The sequence below is a fragment of the Homo sapiens genome, chromosome 5 (genome assembly GCF_000001405.40).
Source record: "Homo sapiens chromosome 5, GRCh38.p14 Primary Assembly".
NCBI lineage: Eukaryota > Metazoa > Chordata > Mammalia > Primates > Hominidae > Homo > Homo sapiens.
The window spans coordinates 65184832-65206299 of record NC_000005.10 but is presented as its reverse complement, the minus strand read 5'-3'; the positions used below and the strand labels follow the sequence as shown (position 1 = coordinate 65206299).

At 34.8% G+C, this 21468-nt stretch overlaps 1 protein-coding gene across 12 annotated transcripts in view; it reads left to right on the top strand.

Moving 5' to 3' along the window:
* ADAMTS6 (ADAM metallopeptidase with thrombospondin type 1 motif 6) overlaps positions 1 to 21468 on the top strand; it is a 333183-nt gene that overhangs the window by 275621 nt on the left and 36094 nt on the right. For 11 of the 12 annotated variants that reach the window (NR_135689.2, XR_007058575.1, XM_011543117.3 and 8 more), the window contains 2 exons: positions 9149 to 9278; positions 18080 to 18284. Coding sequence is in view for 10 of the 12 variants with exons in the window: in XM_011543117.3 (XP_011541419.1) it covers positions 9149 to 9278; positions 18080 to 18284 (335 nt within the window). In the remaining 2 variants the exon portion in view is untranslated. Of the gene's footprint in view, positions 1 to 7939; positions 9001 to 9148; positions 9279 to 18079; positions 18285 to 21468 lie in introns of those variants that run through there. The other variant, XM_047416676.1, reaches the window with a different exon arrangement.

The window sequence follows — 21468 nt, the reverse complement described above, 5'->3', positions numbered from 1 at the left end:
TACATTTTCAGGGGAAACATAGCGATATTGATCTTACAGCATACAAATCATTACAAAGAAGTTATTTGGAACTAACTACAAGTAAAATTCTTAGTCTTTTTTTTTCTGTCTTGGGGATGTTATTTTTAAAATTAGAGATACTAAGGATACTGTGAACTGAAAAAGTTTGAGAACCCCTGATTTGTAAAATGAGTATCATTAAAGTTGGATTAAAAATGTCACCTAACTTCCTTTTACTAGATGTTGAATTTCATTTCAGAAGAGAAAATAAATGCATATAAGCTGCTCATTATTCAGGGCCCTGGTGATGTTCAGAATTTAAAACTGGAGACTCTTCTGTACTTCTAGCTAAGAGACTAGAGGTTTTGAATAATATGTAAATTTCTCATATCTATATTCCTTCCGATGCATCCTCCTGAATATGTTTCCTTCCTCTGTCTCTGTTAGTTTGGGGTAAGAATAGTGGGTGATTAAAGCAAAGGAAAAAAAGAAATGAAGGAAAGAAGGAACTATATATTTAAAGGAGAAATTGCTAGCAACTTCTTTCCTGACAGCTAACAAGTTTATGTGATAACCTATACTATTGCATTTATTAATAACACAATTTTCAGATTACTTTTAACGAATCTGTCATGCCTTGGCCCCTTTAAAAAGTTGGGTATTTCTACATTGTTTCTATGGAAATGTTGTTTGTTCATGTTATATATTTCAGGAATGATACAACAAAGCATAATGTTGACTTAAAAGTATAGTAAGTCCATTCTAAAATGACAGTTTTTAAATTATTTAAAAAAGTAATTATTAGAAAATATGTAGTACAGTCTTTAGGCCAGTACTAATAGCTGACTAAAAGAGAACAGTTCTCAAAGTACCAGATAAAACAGAGACAAATGCTTTACATTTTCAGAGATGTCCTTTTAATTTTTTGTCAATTCTAAGATGTCTAACACATTTAATATCACTAAGAGGTTAATTCACATTATTAGTGAACTAACAGAATGTGCTTCAAACAAACAAGGGTTCTGAGACTTATGTTTTACGGACGTAATAACAAAAATAATGACTAACACTTGTATTGCAGCTTATAAAGGACACATTCACTGTAACTTTCACAGAAACTCAAAGCAGAGGAGCCCCAAATGGAGCATAGGAAAACAAAGTCCAGTTGTTGTTTTTTTTTTTCAAGATTCAAAATAGACTTGATTGAAATTAAGTGCGAAAGACATAAAAAAGGTTGAATCTTATAACTAAATGTGCTTATCTTTCACTTAGGAGTTACCAATCCAGAAGTTATTTTCAGAGTTAAATAAAAGATTACAGAGGGAAACTTTAGTTTGAATAGTTAAAAGCACTTTATTCAATGCCATTCATTTCCCTCTGAAGAAACATAATTATATAGTTAGTTTTAAAGAAAAATTCCCTGTGAAAGATAGTTTCTGTGTGGGGTTGTACAATGTACTATTATTTTTTGAAATCATGAAGGTCCTTTTACATTTGAGTCCTGTATATATCAAACGTAGATATAAAACCTATCACTGAGATTTTTAAAATAATACAAATCCCCTATAAAAAAATGACTTGAGTTTAGGAAGAACAAAGGTTTGCATTCAGCTTTGTTGATCATTATTCCCTAGTTTTCACTTTGGTCTTTGAAAAATAATATATTTATCGGACTAGACAATGGTCTGTCACTGCATTAACCATGACATCCCCCTATTCACTCTCTCCCACAATTCCCTCCTCTCAGGTCACTTTCAATGTTGTGAAGGAAGAGTGTCCTTTAACCTGGGATTAGCTGTACCCAGCATCATAACAGGGCACCTGTGAACATCACAGCCCCCAAGATCCTAGGCTCTGTAATCATTAACCTTACTGGGTTAGTTCTTATATAACTTGACTCTTGAGATTGCAGAGTATCTCTTCTATATAAACTCATGTTCGTGGTTGGTTCACACTTCTGGAAGCTAATATGTGTGTTCATTTATTTATCTATAATAATTTTCATTTATCTTTTTTCCTTAAGCATATGGCTTCTCCTATATAACTACTTTTACAAAAATTCTTTGAATTATCCTGCATATTTTCAATATAACTTAAGCTTAAAGTCTTACATATGAAGAGTTATTTTGATAATCTTGACATGTTTTGCTGTTTACTTCTGCATGTTGTGGATTGCATTTTCTCTAATGTGAAGATTTATAACTGAAGGCAAGAAATCTCTGCTAAGCCAAAATATTCTCCTAGTACTGTTTCATCATTTCATCAGTCCTCTTTCATCATTTGTGTTGCTTTAGTGATTATATTCTTCCCTAACACGAGCAGGGTTTGGATACATATTCAGTCACTGAAAAACTTGGGTGAATCTGAAACCACAGTTTGAGTGCATTCCTATTGTATTAATGATCTATATATCACAGGTCATGTTTCACTTCACAAAAATTCTTTCCAAAATAGTATTTTTAACAGTCATAACATTATTCATCTTTACATGTTTGAATGCATAAAATACTTTTGGAAAAAACAAAGCCTTTTAAAAATAAAGCCTTTTATTATGGTAAGCATGATCATCCTGATTTTGTGGGAACTTATGATATTACTATTTCCATCTTTAGTTGAAGAAAATGAAGATTTTTAGTTTAAAAGCTATACAGTTTGTATATGATTATATCCTTATTTTAACTCAAATTTGAAATATTTCAAGATTTGGTTCCTAGAAAGGGATTTTATATATGTTTAAAAGAAAAGCCTGTCTATTGATGATAAATACATTACACTGTGTGGAAGAAGCTCAAGGCCTTTGTACTCTCAACAATATTCCTCTAAAATTTAAATAAAATACCAAAAACAAGCTCTTACTTAAGGTCATGGAGATGACTTTCTAGTATAATATAACTAATCCTTTCTTTTTTCTAGAGACAGGTCTTTCTATGTTGCCCAGGCTGGAGTGCAGTTGCACAGTAATAGCCCACTGCAGCCTAGAACTCCTGGCCTCAAGTGATCCTCCTGCCTCAGCCTCCCGAGTTGCTGAGATTACAGGTGTGAGCATGTACACCCATGCTGGGTATACCAGCATGATTTAATTCTTTATATTAGGAAACTTGCCTTTCACAATTTCCTATTTCTAGTTAGTATTCTGCCTCTTGACATGTGTAACCCCTTTGACATGTACCTCGCACTGGTACAAACTTAGGCACTTGAAACAAGACTGCAAAACCAAATGAAAAGAAACATGCCTGTTTTCTAGACTTACTCTGTAGAATACAGAGGAAAAGCAGACACATAAGGGAGAGAGAATTGGTGGAAAAAAATGTTGAACAATTGAAATGTGGAGGAAGAGAAGAGAAGGCAACTTTTATAGAAGTTTGGATCTGGAAGAAGCATTCTAAATTATCTTTATGTATTTGATTACCTCATTTTACAAAGAAGAATGAAAACTTGCCTTAGGTCATTTACCTAAACCACTTAGAAGTCAAAAAGAGGTAACTAAACATGGCAGAATTTGGGATGAGAAAAAACAAAGGAACAAGATAAAGTGAAAGGTAATATCATTTGGCTATGAAAAGAGTTTGGCTATGAAATTTGGCTATGAAAAGAGTTCTTCAGATCAGTGAGGATCAGGAAAAGAGAAATCAGACAGTAATAAGATAAAATGGGGAAACTATAAACTAAAAATATTAGACCTGAAAATGCACTATTTTATTAGATATCTTCCATCATGTAATATAATTATAATGGTACTTGCCCTGTTCCACCCCACCCCCATTTTAGTGTAATCTCATTGAGGTCAAGACTGTCTTACTCAGTAACTTTCTCCCTTATAGTACTAAAAAAGTATACATTAGACATAGTAGGAACTAAATTAGTTAAAAACTTAGATACTTTATATGGAAAAGATTACTCTTAATAGCTAAGGAGTAATAGGAATTCTCTCCAGGGATAAGCTCAGTATACGTATGTTCCACCCTACCTTACCATTACTAAACACAGTTGTTCTAGAAAAATACAATATTTTTAGAGCTACATTTTGCTTTTGATCATCCTTTGTTTACTTAGGACATCCAGTTTTGCTTAGGACAGAAGGAAATACACTGAAAAGGACAGAAGGAAAGACACTGAAAAGAGAAGGGAAGCCTTTGAAAGATAAAAACTAGCAGGAGGCTCTTCAGAAGAAGGAACCATATGAGTGGAGTTGATTGGTACCCTGGGTTCCAGCTGTTAGATCCAAGGCAGATGGGCTTTGCTCTGCCCTGCAAATGCTTGTGTCTGGCCAACAATCACACGGCACAACAGCCAGATTCCAGCAGTGAAAGGCAGAGCGGAGAGACATTTTTTTTCCTGGCACTTGTCACTCTTTGGATGCTATCTGCATTAAAGATTTAAATTAAATTAATATTGCTGGCCATATGCTCTGTATACTGTAGTTATATAGTGTTGTCTTGGTTGCTAGCTACTATGGATGCTGTGGCTAAGCAAATTGTTGCCTTAGCCACCAGACACATTTTTAGTACAAGCTCTGACTTTTTAATGTTACCTCCTTCTCTTCAGAAAACTGTTTCTTGGGTAGATATGATGTGCTATGTCACTAGGTTAAATTATTTAGATGTTGGTTAGCCCATCAATTCCAAGAATACATTTATATTTCTTTCTTTTTATTGTTGACTCATTCACAGGAGGTTGTAGAATGCCCATTTATCCATTACATGGTCTATCACTGAAATGATGGGACTGATGAGTAGAGTTGAGAAGACTTAGAAAGTCTTTCTCCTGCCCTTAACCACCCCCGACCCATCCTTCTTGGTTTAACACATGTCACCCTTTCAAGTTAAATTCAAGTTGTAATTTCTGTACCTTGAGTGCCTTCTTTCTACTTTTAAGATGGTAAATTGCCCTGAGAAAAGCAATATATTGCCAAATACTATGTTACAAATGAGTTTACAAAATTATTTAATTCTCTGAAAGAAGAGAAAGATAGGAACACATGAGAACATTGGGCAGCTAATAAGAGGAGTAGAGGGACTGGAATGGAGGGAAGAAATGAAGAAGAGCGATGGTCTCTGAACTCTTTGCTCAGACTGGGACTCACTTGAACCATCACCACCCCCTAGAGTAAGAACAGCAGATGGTTTCCATCCAGGACTCATTTGCCATTTGATGGGCTTCTTGCACCTTTTCCTTTGGTACATACTGTATAAAAATGCCATTAAAGCCATTTCTTGATATGTAGCTAGAGCAGTGATTCAAGTGGAATATGCCTTCTTCCCATTGTATAAAAGAACCTTTGATGGGAAAATAGATCTTTAACTTTGAACTATTGGCAGAAAATTAAATATAGGATCTGACATTTAAACTTATGGACAAAAAGTGAGGGTTACATTTCTGTGGTAAGGACCATCATATTTGAATCTTTAGTATCAAAGAATAAAAAGATAAGCAAATTAAAAGTCTCTAAACAGAATATACCTTTTGTAGAGGGTTTAAAGTAAATATATATTGGCAATATCATCTCTTATAATTAACTTTCGTAATATGAAGCCATTACTTTTTTTAAGCATGGAGGAAGGATTGCATTAAAAAAACATATACATACAGTTTGCATGCCAGTAACTTTAGGTGTTTAAGAATAAAATACAATTAGTGTATTTTTATTAAATTCTGCAGAACATCTGCTTATTTCCAGGGGATCTGGACACTAAGCCACTAGAATTTTGTTTTTGATTAGGTACACACTGACTGGTCATGTGGACATTTTATGTTTTGGTTATAAACTATAAGTCTTTAGATTTGAAAGCATCGTGGTTTCGTGTAACTGGATGTAATTATTCCCAACCGGGTTTAAAATCAACATCTTAGCAATGTTTTACAGACTACTTTAAAAGAAGTTATGTACAAGAGGCTTGATCATATAAAAAGAATCTAAACTCAATCATTTCTCTTGTGGACTTAGTTTAGATTATTTCCAGTTGATCTGTATTTTCTACTTTCTAAAGTTAAAAGCTGCATTTTCCTTAATTCAAAAGTATGTGTTTAAAAATCCATTCATTTAGATGCCTTGGTTTATAGAGTTATCCTGTTGCTACTGACTTAAAAAGAAAAAAAAATCTGTAAACCTGCCAAGTGTGGGAGTAATAGTTGGAAGGAGCTTTGTATGCTGTTGGAGGAAGATAGTACAGTGTTGTAGGAAGATTTGGAATAGATTACTGATATAGTCAATTCTTGAGTGTGAAATACCACACTGTCTAATATAACATTCTAGAAGAAAATTAATAAAAGACAAATGTAAGGAAAACATGCATCTTCATAAAATATAGAGCAATTTCAGCTGTCTATTCAAGGACTTTAATTTTTACTTCATAAAAAATAGCATTCTGAAATCATGAAGCTAAAATGAACACCTAAGTACTCTTGATTCCCAGTTTTTAAGAAGTATGGAAGGAAGGCATGATCAAAATTAAGTCAATTCATAATTCTTAGCACTTAGCCCAATATCTCCCAAGAGATACTGTGTTTATATCTCATAAACACAATGCTTTGGTTTAGTAACTATCTCTGTTGAATGAATGAATGAATGAGTAAATGAATGAATGACCTGCCAACTACATTTAGCTGACAGTTTTAGTTTGGGTATACATGTAATTTTTAAACTAATTACTGGATCCCACTAAAGAGCAAAATAGCCCTGAAATTAAAGGGGTCTGAAACAAAATATTGGACTATGGGTCAGTTTTATTTCTTCCTTGTGGTTTTGTGTAATTTTCCAAATTTTTGATAACAAATATTATGTACCAAATTTTTTTCAAGATACATACATTGTTAGAATTTATCATAAAATGAAATATAAATCACAGCTCTACTAACTCATATCTCATCTATGATTCAAATTGCAGAGGCCCTGCTTTTGCAATAAAGGCTACTTTTGAAAACAAATGTAATTATAGCCAAACAACATTTCTAGGGTTAAGTTAGAGAAAGAAGAATTTTATCTTGACTTAATTCAGTTTCTACAAGTCAAGGAAACTGAATTAATGTTTCTGCCACTGAAACAAAACCAGATCAGTTGTATTTTGTAGTGTTGAGAATGTTTATTCCTTCCTGAGAAATAACCAAGATATGTTTTGGATGCCAGTGTTCTTGTTTCAAGTATAGTCATGTTTGAATGACTTAAAAAAAAATAATCACACTAACCAATAAAAAAAAATCCCCTGCTGTCCCTGATAGAGGCAAAATATTGAACCAGGATGGATGGATAATCTGAGCCACTGTTGGAGTTGGTAGTTGACTCCTATGACTAATGGTAGAGGTATCTGTCTAGGTGGACCACATGGACCTAGTTATCTGCCCACTGGAATGACACAATGGGGAGATATCCGATGAATATCATGGAACATCTGTGAATGGATCACAACTATGCCTGATGTGAATCATTCTTCCCTCAAAAATTCTAAAGTTTAATAGTTAAAAAATTCCAAACTGTTGTCGTCACATAAACTTCATTGTTTGGCTTATTTTAGGGGTTGGGAGGGAAGGAATACAATACATACTCTAGGACATTTTGCCAGTAAGTTGTTTGACTATGTTTAAGACCCCTAAGTTTAGGAAAACATAAAAAATGGTTGCAGAAGGTGATCAGCAAGAGCCCTGGGTCAGTGCAAGCAATAAAAAAGACTAACTGCTCACCACTGTCATGGAAGCTACAGGATTTAAGTGTCATGAGCTTGGTGGATTTAATAGTTTGCCCTGTCAGTCTTTAAATTTAAAGGGCTTAGTTAAAGGTAGGTGTGCATAACATGATAACGGAGGCACTCCCACCTGCAGAATTTCTATGATTTAGGGGAACTTGGGGGAAGCATTTGGTGTGTAGCTCTTTAGGTGACAGTTTCTTTCACTGAATGATCCTGTTTCACATATATTTCCCTAATTTGTGATCACACTGTTTTTTTAGGGCATTATTACTTGAAACAACTGGGAAAAAAAAAAGAAAAACAACTGAAGGATTGTGTGGGATTAGCTAGGTGTGAAGCTGTGGTTTCCTGGATACTGCTAATGCTGCTTTTACAACTCTTTCTGGGTAATTTAGCCTACCTGTTTATAGAGATGGGGTGGGTGAGTGGGGGAATAGCTTAGTGTGTGCTTTTATTTCTATTGCCAGGAGTAACCTGTTACCGCTATATGATCTGAAACATTTAGCATTGTCTTGTAGTTTGACGTGTTTCTCTTTGATATCTTGATATACCTGTCTGCTTCTTTTGTTTCCTTGACACTAAAGAGAAAATGAGTATACATAAAATCTGTTCATCAGGAACATTTACAAATACGAGTGTGTGTTTGTGTGTGTCTTTATATTTTGTGAAATGTGAGCAAGTTATGGTGAATATCTTTGCCAATAATTGACATATATTTAATATTTTATAAACTGTATGAGAATATTTTTAGCTGTGGTAAACATATCACATAGACTAATTTTTTAAAATGAGATAAATTAATATTTGAATGAACTGTGTATGTATGTATTTGACAGTGGTATAATCAACAGGGGTCAACTCTGTTCGAATAAACAGACTAGTTGGTTACAGTCCAAAAGAGGCCCACTGCAATCTCTAATTTCTAAACAATGAATGGGCTTTTAGAGAGATAAATATATAAACGGAAGAAAAAATGAAATGTGTGGATGTGATGTATTCCTAACAAAAACTAAATAGATGGGATTTGTTCTACAAAATATCAAAAAGTAAATTTGTCCCTATTGTTCTATTTTTAAATAAATATACAATCATTGTTTTGCATTGAAATGCATATTTGTACATTTTATTTGATAATATTATTTTGGGAAATTGTAATCTGTTGTTTTGTTTGTTTGTTAAGGGAAGCACGAAGAAGAATTTACAAATGTGAATAAAATTGTTTAAGATTACCAATAGTTTCTTTTCTGGACTTGAAATAGTTACGTTTCTAAATATGAGAAAAATAACTTTGCCTAAAATTTCAGTATAATGACCAGGTCTTCTCTCCATTTTAGAGAAGCAGTCCAATGTGGAACAGATAAGACGGCAGCGATCCAGTGAGGTCAATTCCCCACAGAGGAAAGCTATGCATACCTAACTTAATGGAAGGTAAACTTCTCTTCAATTAATGATGTCCTCCTTTTCTCAAGGTGTCCAAAGACAGGAGGTGGTCTGTAAAAGGTTGGATGACAACTCCATTGTCCAGAACAATTACTGTGATCCTGACAGTAAGCCACCTGAAAATCAAAGAGCCTGCAACACTGAGCCCTGCCCACCTGAGTAAGTAAGGGAAAGAAATGAGAATTATTTTCTTCAGGTGCAAAGAGAAAAACATTATGTATTCATGTTTGGAAATATATTTATATGATGAGAATAAATTAGGCTGAAAAAAGGTAGAAAACATCCTGAGAGGGAGGAATTTTGATGTCTCTTTTAGTGAGCAAAGATTCCTATTTATCCATAGATTTCAGTCATTAACTTCTTTAAAGCAGGAACTTCAATGAATTTTGTTCTGACACAATGCTGGAAATGATCATATTTCATCAATTCTAAAGCACACATCTTTTCACATTTTAGCATCTCTGAAATTAGGATTCAACTTGCAGCTAATGGTGTCTTACTATAATAATTGACATTTTTCCCCTCTCTTAATGGCACATAAAAAAAAAGTCTTAGATGTAATAAAATATAGTGATTTATTTACACTCCTGTCTTTTCTACATATTTGTCCTAAAGATCTAAAGACCTCTTTTTTTTTTTTTTTTTTTTTTTTTTTTTTGAGACGGAGTCTCGCTCTGTCGCCCAGGCTGGAGTGCAGTGGCGCGATCTCGGCTTACTGCAAGCTCTGCCTCCAGGGTTCATGCCATTCTCCTGCCTCAGCCTCCCAAGTACCTGGGACTACAGGCGCCCACCACCACACCCGGCTAAATTTTTTGTATTTTTAGTAGAGACGGGGTTTCACTGTGTTAGCCAGGATCACCTCGTGATCCGCCCGCCTCGGCCTCCCAAAGTGCTGGGATTACAGGCATGAGCCACCGTGCCCAGCCAAGACCTAAAGACTTTTAAAATGGTTTAGAAATACTCTGGAATAGAATATCAGGGCTTTAATTTGCTGACCCAGTTTAAAGTTCTGTTGTTGTAAGGCATCCTATATTCTGAGTGTTGGGTACAGGCATAGAGGTATACTTCAGTCTCTTTCTGTTGATTAATGCAGCAATACAACTCACTGTAAAGGGATTAACAAGGAGAGAGCCCATTCATTTTAATGATGGTTTTAAATGAGACCTGCTCTCAATGAGCCACACATTATAATCTGTAAGAACAGAAATGTTTCTTGATTGAGCAAAAGGCTCAAGATGATTATGTGATGTTGAGTTGATCACGACAAAAGTAATCTTTGTAGAGATTTTGCCTGATTGAAAACTGCAAGAGAAAACATGTGTGATTGGCATTTCATTCTTGTTTGAGAAATTGGATGAACTGTTATCTTCCTGGTTAATTAATCATCCCAACATGAAACTGATAAGGCAAAAGAGAATAAGCAAATGAATTTGTATGTTCCAAACTCTCTACAACTGGAGAGAAAAACTTTATAATGAAGCTTCTCTAAAAATGACTAGAGTGGAGCTACATAAACATGGAAGTTAAAATACATAAATAATCCATGTCCCAAATAACGTTTAAACCAAGGTGCATTTCTTGTTCAAGGTGCATTTCTTGTTCCAAAGCAATAATGCCTTTTGAACTTCCATTATTTAAAGTCAGTGTCTGCCTGAACATTTGAATCTTAAAGGTGATACTCACTACTAGTCCCTTGAAGAGGTGTAGGGTATTGGCAACCAAATAAGAAGCACAAGGAATCTAGAGTGATAGTTTTTGTTCTAAGACTTTTGCAATTTTACATTGAGTTCTTTTCAAAATGTTATCACCATATAACTAATCTCTTAAAATCCAGACATGGGAAAGTATCAAAATGTGACCTATCATATGTGTTACAAAGACAAGTTATTAAATTTTTTTCACATTCCTCTTTTCTGCCAATTATTTTTATAAATTTATCTCAAGAGAAACTGAGAAACTGTAGAGCAATGCGATGCTCAAAATCCATGGGCCAATTTTGTCCCTTTCTATGTTTCCAGTAACTTCAGCATATTTTCATGTCATTGTGAGTCTCAGTCTATTACGTTAATTCTCTGACATTCAGGATCTTAAGTAGTATATTTGGCATTTGATCAGCCTGTGAAGGCATCTGAGTGAGCCTGGTCACACCCTATTCCATTTTGGCCTAAGCTTTTTCATTTGTTTAAGCTTAAAAGTTTAAATGTCCAGTGTCCTTAAAGATTTCAGTTGTTGGTCATTTCATCCCATAAGTTGTGTGTTTGAGTATTACATTGGAGGTTTGTTTTTGTTTTTTAACAGTTTAAGGATAATTGACATATTGATGTACACTATTAAAATTAAGCTTTCTATCTCCTTATGTAGTTCTGAAGTGAAGTTACTTACTTAAGTTTGGAGATGGGGAATGGAATTCAAAAGAAAAGATACAGAGAATATGGGAAAAATAGAAAGTTTAGTCTGATGGGTTTTTTTTAAAGACCTAAATGTAGATACTTAAAATATTACTCATTATTAGCCTACTTCTCTTAGTTGCTTTTTAATTTCTTCTTTAGTCTTTTGAATTCAGACTATGGAAAAGGAAATTTTAATTCTTCAAAATGGTTATATATGCTTGACTTGTGGTGGGATTACATCCTGATAAACCTATACAAAGTTGAAAACATTGCAAGTTGAAATGCATTTACTTCACCTAACCTACTGAACATCATAGCATAGCCCAGTGCACCGTAAATGTGCTCAGAACACTACCATTGGGCAAAATCATCTGGCAACACAGTACACTGTAGAGTATTGGTCATTTACGCTCATGATAGCGTAGCTGACTGGGAGCTGCAGATTGCTGTTGCTGCCCAACATCTAGAGATACTATTGTACCTCATATTGCTAGGGTAGGAAAAGGTTAAAATTCAAAAATTCAAGTAGTTTCTACTAAATGTGTATTGCTTTCTTATCATGTAAAGTTGAAAAATCATTAGGTCAAACCGTCAAACATCAGGGACCATCTGAGATTCCCAGTTGACATTGGTATTATAGAGATAGAAATCATAGAAAGGCTACTGAATTCAGTAAAACTTTACGAGTGTGAAGAAAGCAGATAGGTTTTTTTTAGATGATCATGTGATAGGCAGATAAGCAAAAAGAAGGAAACAAAAAAACCTATAAACCACTGTTAATACTTTGATGTATATATTTCCAGTATTTTTTCTATGTATACAGAGGCATGTGTATATAAAAAAAATTGTATTACACTACTTATGACACTTTATAGTCAGTTCTCAACATTTGGAACATTTGAAGTCTTTGACAACGTTTAGTAGATATGTGATTGTTTATTTAAATTGGTATTCCACTCTTGAACGATTTTGGCTGTACTTTTTATTTTGATCCCCTGCAATAATGCAGCATTAACCACTTTTGCTTCTGAAACTGTTCTTTATAATTATATATGCTAAATAAAGAAGAAAATAATTTATAGTTCAAATGGAAGCACATGTTAGTCTTTGAGATCACATTGTCCAATTACTTTCCAGAAAGATTGTGTGAATCTATATTCCGATTAACAGTCTATGAGAATGCCATTTTCCTGGAAGTGAACAACAGTCGTTATTATTATTTTAAAAATAATCTTTCATTATTTTATAGGGGAAAAGCCCTGATATCTAATTGCTGTCTTATTTTGCATATATGGGACTGCTGATGGGACTGAACATTTAAAAATTATGTTTAGTGGCTGTTTGTACTACTTCTCTTTTGCCTTTTATCATCATGGCCTGTCCTATTGAACTACTTATCAATACTTCTATTGAAGTATTTATTATTTTGTTATTGATTTGAATGAACTCTTAATGTATTAAGGATATGAACTCTTTTATCTGTGTTCTGAATATTTTTTCCTAGTTTGTCGTCTATTTTCCATGTTATTTATGGTGTTTTGATCTATTTTTACTGATAAAATTTAGAAAATCTTATTTAAGAAAGCTGTCAAACCTTTATTTCTTCATTGGTACACTGTTTAGAAAGGTCTTCCCCACTCTTATACTTTCAAAGTTTCTTTTTTTATTTTTAATGTAAACATTGATCTATCTGAAATGTTTTGCCTGATTTGAGGAAGGGATCTATACTTATTTTCAATCACGATTGTTTTCCCTATACCATTAGTTTAAAATTCTAAATCGTATTTTTTATCAGAAAGTATTTTTTCAAATAATGAAATATTTCAAATGTCTTTAGTTATATTGAGAGAATTTATAAGTACAGTATACAAAAAGGGAGAACAGTAAGATTTGTCCTTATAGAGAAAATGACGGAGGACTAGGAAAAATAGACAAAACAGGCATTGATAGAGAAATAATATTATGTTTATTTGGAAGACTTTGAAGACCCAGAGGAGTCCTTGCTGGGGAAAGTTATCATGTTCATAGCAGCAACTCTTTTTATAAGAAAGAGTATAGTAGTCAAGGTAGTAAAGTGACTATGAATGAAAGTAGTGGGATCCATGACATAGCCTTAAATAACTGGAAAAAAAAAAAAGGAAAGGAATTAATATTAAAGGATATGATTGGTAAGAAGCTAATCCCCAACCATAAGAAAAAAAAATAAGTTGGAATCCAAAGAGAAAGGCTGAGTTAAGTTTTTACCATGCCGTGTTTTAATAGCAAGAGTATTTCTGCATATGACCTCATGTGAAGAATCCTTGAGTGATAAATATTATTCCTGTATGATACTGTGGTTTTTAAAATTGTGAAAACCAGAGAGGTGAAAACAAGAGAACTATTCATTTTAATAATATTGTGACCAAGAATTTAAAAACATTTATTAATCAACTTCAAGTTGGAAGACACTGTACTTTGGGAGAAATGGTTCTCTTTCCTGAGGGTAATCTAATTGGGCAAATATATACAAAAATAACTACAGTACAAGACAAAATCTGTTAAGTACAATAAGAGAGTTATAAGCAAAAGTGCTGAAGGAAACTTAGGGTGGGAAGAGATTAATTTTTATCCAGTGGCTAGGTTTTATTTAATTGGTATATTTTAAGGTATAATGTTTAATAACCATTATTCTGAGTCATTGGACCTCACCCATGGACAACTGTCATCTCTTATTTTAAGCTTAGAAAAAAATTCATTAGAGTCATCTATAAAACTCCAAAATTTAAGACCTAGGAAGAATCATAGAAATTATTTAGGTCCACTCCCATCATTTCACAGACTGAGGTATGCTAATATCCAGTGATGTTTTTTCCATTACATCAGACATCACCAGCTTGGTAAGGTACAAATCAAATGTCTGGTGGCACTTTGATACATCTAATTTTGCTTGCTTCATTGACACATTCTCAGTTGCTACAACTTCAGAGATGTTTATTATGTTGATTTTTAAAAATTTAGAAAAACCTTGACTGTATAATGTTTAGGGCATACAGTGTTCTGCTTAATATTAGTTTCACTTTCCAATTAGCTGAGAAATGAAAAAAAATTCTTTTTATTTTTTTAACAACTTTTTGTTTTGAAATTTTTTTAAGTTAATTTAAAATGTAGGAAAGTTTTTTATCTTTGTAAGTAGACAATAATTTATATAAATGAATTTCTCTTTGAGTAAAGATATTATTGTCAAATTCTGAAGATTTTTACAATTTTGCTATGTTGTGTTTGTAAAAAGAGTTGATGATTAGACCCTTGACTCTGGGACAAAGCCTAGGAAATCTCTCTCTTAATCCTAATATTTAATATCAGTTTATTTTCATATGCTCTGCCATTTTCCTTTAAATTAAAAAGCAAAAACAATATTCTGGTTTTATGATGATTATTTCTTCAAAAATATTCTGGTTTACCAAGGTTGGGGCAAATTTTTTATACTGTCTCTCTTATTCCCTTCTCCAAATTATACTATTTTTTGTAATAATAAGAGATCGGGACTGTAGGTCAGATTACAGAGGCTGCAGCAAGCCACTCTTATTTCAGACACTCGAACATGAATCCCACTAATTGTTAATGTCTAATAGCTATGAAGGACTTGTGAAGATAAAGACAATTTGTGTATTGGGAAAAGCTCAGAAAGAAACAGCCCCAGAATTGTTCCAGCTATAACGATTCGGCAATTTATATTCCCAGAGAGAATTTCTGTATTCATGTTTTTGCCACCAAGTCTAGAGGAGGGAAAGAAGACAGAGAAAGAATGCCATCAGAGGGTCAAATACGTGGAGAAGGAAGACAAGGGAAAGCAGTATGTCTTAAACTAGATGGGAGAGTGGAGAAACTGAGACAAGCAGATGCAGTGGTAGAATTGCAAAACTGTTTAAATAACTAGGGTGTGATTTAATCCTTCAGAGAGACATGGGAAGGGATGATACGATGAGCAATAAAGATGCAACAGGGACTGAGTGTGAAGCCTGAAATGAGAGTTAAAGTCAGAAAGGAAATTGGGAGGGTGATTAATACTTCTGATTTCATATATTCCAAGTTAAAGGCTAGAGTGATACATCTAGGTTAAGTTTCTGAGGAGAGATGGAATGGAAGAGGGGACAAAGAATAAAAAGACAGAGGTGTCCCTGACCCTTTGCAACACTTCTGAATCATTGTGGTTACTCGGGACACCTGTGTTTAATTTGAAGGCCTCCATCCCTCTTACATTATGAGAACTAATGAGATCATGGCTGGAGGTTGTGTGACTGAACTTTTTGTGACTGTAATACACATTTCTGTTTTATCCCCTAATCTTGGTGATGAAATCACTGTTGCAAAGTTGAATCAGAGTTTCACTATGGCTGGCATGCAAGTATTATTTTCAGTACACATTTTCCTCCTTACCAAAAATGGTACTAACAACTGGGGATCATGTTCATCTGTGGAAAACAGAAAGGAAAGAATATGAAAATTACTTTAAATCTCCCTTGGAAAATGACTTAGAAAAAATGTTTGTGTCAGATTTTTTAAATTCAAAATTAAATCATCATTCTTTAAATGAATTTTAGGCTGAAAATTTGTAGATGTTGATAAAATATAATTTAAATTTGAAAAACTGGCTAACTATATTTCTAAATGCTGGTTTTCTTTATAAGTAAAGACAATACGAATAATAATGAACAAAGGCCAGTGTTGGCTTAATGCAGTCTCAAATTTAGGATACTAGTACTCTGACTTCACTAAAGTATTATCTTCCGTATACAAAACTGGCACAATGGAGCTATGCTCACAGAAACAGTGAGAAATTTGCTCTTAAGCTTTCCATATTCTTCTCTCTTGGGAGTCTCCCACCTAAAAGCATGAGCATGTTCATTGAGAATAACTGCATGATTTATAATTATGGATTGAAGAAAATGTCTTGTGATCCCGTGCTTGTAACCTATATTTTACTATTCAGCAATGTTAAAATGAATTTCGATTGAAATAGCAATCAATGGGGAATCCAGTCCTGATTCCATCATTGCTCTTTTCACGATTTTGGAGAACTGTTTTCCTAACACTGGATCTTACTTTCTTCTATAAAACAAAGCACAATGCCTTGAACGTAGTAGACATTCAGCAAATATTTAATAAATGAAATACAATATGTCAGTCAAGACCCTTGTTTCAGATAACAAAACTTCAACTTGAGCTGGCTTCAGCACATAAGATTTACGTAACACAGCTGAGGGAAGTGTAAGGGGGAACCTAGCTTGAGAAATGGCTGGAATCAAGGACTCACACACCACCCAGGCTTTCTAGCTCCTGTGCATTCTTTGAAATCAGCTAATTTCACTTGACAGGGAACCCAGCCACTGCAGCTCTGAACTCATCATCTTATGCACCTTTGTGACCAGAAAGGAAAGGGTCCCTTTTGCTCCAGTTGAGATATAAAAATTCTAAACCAGAATTCTCATTGATCTGATTTAGATCATGAGTTACATCCCTTAGACTAATTAATGTGTCCAGAAGAGTGAATCCTGCAGAAGTGTTGCAAAAAAAACAAAACAAACCACAAACCCCCTGAAATTATGTATGTGAAAGTTTATGACTTTAGGGTAAAGGTGTAGTATACCTACAAATGTGAGACATGTTATTTTTTTCTAAGACATTTGCATTTCTTTCCACATTAGCTGTGTAGAAGCTGTTTTTAGGAGCCAAAAGGTTGAAACAAGAGATCTGCCTGTTTTCATAGAGCTAGCTCAGAGCTCTGCTCTTGCCGAAGGTGTTTTAAGACTCCCATGTTCTCAGGATGGATACCTGGTCTTCTCTGTCCTTGTAAGGACATTCACATCCTATCTTCATAGAGGTTTATTTCTAGAAATTGAAAAACAAATCCTCAGCTTCCTTAGAGTGGTTTTAGCATAAAATTTTTAATTATGGGAGAACCTGCCTCAATGTGATAATAATAAAAATACCTACTATTTCTTGTTTGTTATATGACAGACACTATGTTAGAAGCATTCAGTGGTGTGCTGGAGCCAGCTAGTATTGGTTCATAGGACCCTATTATTAGCATATCTTCTCCTGTTCACCTTTAGTATATCAAGCTGGTAGCTTGAAATTGGCCATAGTGAGGTTTTTACACTACAAAAATTGGCAAATGCCACAAATCAGAACTCCCCCACCCCCTGCCATAGGGAGCCAGTGGTTAAACATTTATTAGCGCATCACTGGGAGCTTTATATATATGACCTTATTTAACCCTCGTGACAATTTTTTATGAGATTGATCATTGTTATCCTCATTTTAGAATGTAATTAAAAAGGAGAAAAATAAAAGAGGTTTAAAGACATAGTGCACTTGTTTGAACCTGGGTTCTGTCCACACACTACACTTTAGAAAGCAAATGACAGTAAAGGTCTTTTCCTTAGCAGCTCTTTCATTTGCCATTTGTCTTATTAACCAACATTGAAATGTCAGCTCGTAGTCCATCAGTGAAAGTGCCTTCACTTAGCTAAAAATCTCTGGATGCACTGAGGAAATGCTTTTCTGTGTTTCTTCCATGTCTTGCTGCAGGTGGTTCATTGGGGATTGGTTGGAATGCAGCAAGACTTGTGATGGTGGGATGCGCACAAGGGCAGTGCTCTGCATCAGGAAGATCGGACCTTCTGAGGAGGAGACGCTGGACTACAGTGGTTGTTTAACACACCGGCCTGTCGAAAAAGAGCCCTGCAACAACCAGTCATGTCCACCACAGTGGGTGGCTTTGGACTGGTCTGAGGTAAGGAAATCTGAGGCTATATGTATATGTTTTGAAATGTCCTAACTATCTATCCTAAAGCAGTTAATATTAAGGACACCTGAACATCTTAGAACTCAACAAGTAAGGGCTGTGTAACAGTGACCATGTTATATTTTATTGCTGCTTGTCAGGAAATAAGGGGTGTTTTTGGGTGGGTAAGGGAAATCAGCGAGAAACTTGTCATCAATTTGATTAAAAATAAGTCTAAAGTAAATTTGAAATAACATTATAGTGGGTACTCTTATAAGTGGTTTTTCTCCTTCTTACTGTTGAGCACATCACAAGTTTAGAATTTGCGATACATGATTAAAAATTGAAGTTCAAAAGGAGAGTCAAGAACCTTTCTTACCCCAAAAGTTATTGAAGACCTAGAATGACCTTTTCTAGGATCTCATTTGGAAAGCACAATTTTTAAAATATCTTTTTTCAAGTAATGTAGCAGCCTAATTACGTAACTCTTAGGTATGAATTGTTATCAATTCATTATCACTTACGACCTATCTATATATTTTATGTCTTCTATTTCAACTGTGAAAGAAACATGGAGCTGAAGGTTATAACATAGGAAAACATCAAATTTGACTTGATCATTCCCTTCACTTACATGAGGAAGACCTGACCAAGATAATGTTTTCTTGGCATAGATGTGTACAAAATACCTAATAAAATCCAGAGCCACTCAGAAAAATTATCTTATGAAAAATTAGGTAAGAGGTAGTTAATTTTTGACTCCTCAGTATCCATGAGACAGATACGTATGCATACTATATAATTTTCCACATCTCCCAAAGAAGGGCTGAAGCCTTCTGTAGTGTGTGTTAAGTGTTAAGAATGAGTACCTTGCTATATAACCAGAGATATTTCTTTCAAGTTAGCAAAACAGGATGCATCTCAGACTCTGTTCTAATATATCCTGCCAGAAACATTGTGGTACTTGCTTTGGGTATTTCCTGTAGACCTCATACATTTGTCAAAATACAAACAAAAATATTAAACGTTGTTCTTTAGGAACCTTTGGATGTTACTATTCCCCTGTGAATCTTACTGCTTGAGTGGCCTTATTTTGCTGGAGCACAGGACTGAAAGAAGCACTGTGTTTAAGATGGTACATGGAAGTGGAGATTCTGACCAGTTGTGGTTATCCATGGAATCTTTGGCAGGAATTGGGAGTGTTCTTCCAAGTTTCCTAGCCATAGTCCAGCTTCAGTAATTACATTCTGCCTACCTAAGTTAGATTTTTTAGTTATATATTTCAATCATATGTAGAGATATCCTTGGTATTATTCTGTCAGTGGTCATGGAAAACAGTATGGACTCTCCTGTTCCCTAACGGGATACATTAACTCCTAATTGATTTGAAAGATAAAATCCATTGATAAAGAATAGACATTCTGCAGAGTTGTACACATGTTAGTGCCCAGGACCCTTATAGAAATCCATAAATATTCATTGGTATGAGAAATTTGTTATGGGAAAATCATAATAGGAGACCTAATGATTGGCTGCCACAGTTTGAGGGCTTCAGGTCAAGTCAGTAAGTTTGAGTGATTACTAAACATACTGGGATAGGCACCATGGGTAACATGAAAGAATCCCATAAGCTTGGGCAAATGAAAAATACCCATGAAACAACTAGAGAATAATACATATAAGGCAGTGTGTAATAAAACAGTGGATTGTGAGGTATAAATGTATAATTAATATGGAAATTCAGAGCTGAGAAGGGCAGAATAGCCTGGAGTAGGATCAGAAGGCTTTTTAGTTGATGGGATTTAAGCTGAATATGGAGGGGTATAGAGTTGGGAGTAGGGAAGAGAATAGGGAAGCTAGAGAAAGGATGCCTGAAAAGAGAAATGGCTAAACAGAAACACAAAGAGTGGATAATGAAAGCAGTGTGAGAGAAAAGGGTTTGTTTTTAAGAATAAATGAAAGACTGATAGTGATAGGTACTAGGAAGGTTAGAATACAGAACTCTATACTATATCACCCTTCATAAGCAGAAGGAATGCCTTCTGAGAAATTTCTAGAAGAAGTTGCTGCCAACCACTAAAATATCAAAACTTCATGTAAGCCTCATTTCACACTGATCTTCTGACCTACACTATTCTGTATCATTATATGTTTTTAAATAAAACAACCACATATAGTCACCTTGAGAGATAGCTTGTGTATATTAACTGATATGCTTCCATTCCAAATTCTATTTTAAAGTTTCCTTCAGAATTCAACTTCACATAGGTTGATCTTACCCCTCTATTAGAATTTTGATTCTTATCTATCCAGTCTTTGAAGTGACTCACTCAAATGGCTCTAAGAGGCTCTAAGGCATTTTTGGAGGCTGCCTGAAGATGTACATCTAAGCTGAGGACACTTTTAATCGCATTTCTGCAATACTCTTTAACATGGCTGAGTCAAAGCTTAGGGGCAAGAAATGGTGCTGAGGGGCTGGAGTACACATGTGGGGACCACTGCCTCAGATAAAGCATTGTCCAAGGGAGCTGCTGTTGTCTTTCCACAGACAGGAAACAATTCTGGGATAAGCACAGGTCGAAAACTGCTGCTGTTACTGTCTCAAAATTTCTAGTTGAGCACCATCTTTACCACTGTCATCATCCCTTGTTCAAGAGGAAAAATGGTTTTTGCCCCATACTGTTACTCCTGTTTATTTCCCCAAGGGGGTATGTGGGGTGTGTTTACTCTCACGCTTCCATTACCTTAGTTTACCAGGCAGCCCATCTCTTTCCTTCCCTAGATGGGTTAACAATAAGTAAGAATAAATAACGTTAAATAGATGTCTGAGTAGCTATTGTGAACAAAATGAGAACAAGGAGCCTGTTCTTCCCAAAGGAATGGAACACCTCCCACTAATGAAAAGAGAAGGTCCCAGCGGAAGAGCAGGCGGTATTCAGTCTCTTTCAGTTAACCTTTGGCAAATATTTCACACAATTTTTTTGACACACCCATGAAAACCTCCCCTTTCTGCCCCCTCCCCACTTCCAACTCTCAGCTGTCTGAGCTCTGCTAATCACAAGGGTGAGGTTCAACTGGTGAAAACATATTGCAGCAAGAGGAATTTGCCCTTTGACCCTTTCCTTTTCTCTGCCGGCTACTGTAGTGTAAAATTTCCATTGTTGTAAAGCCAGCGTCAGTGAAACCCACCCAG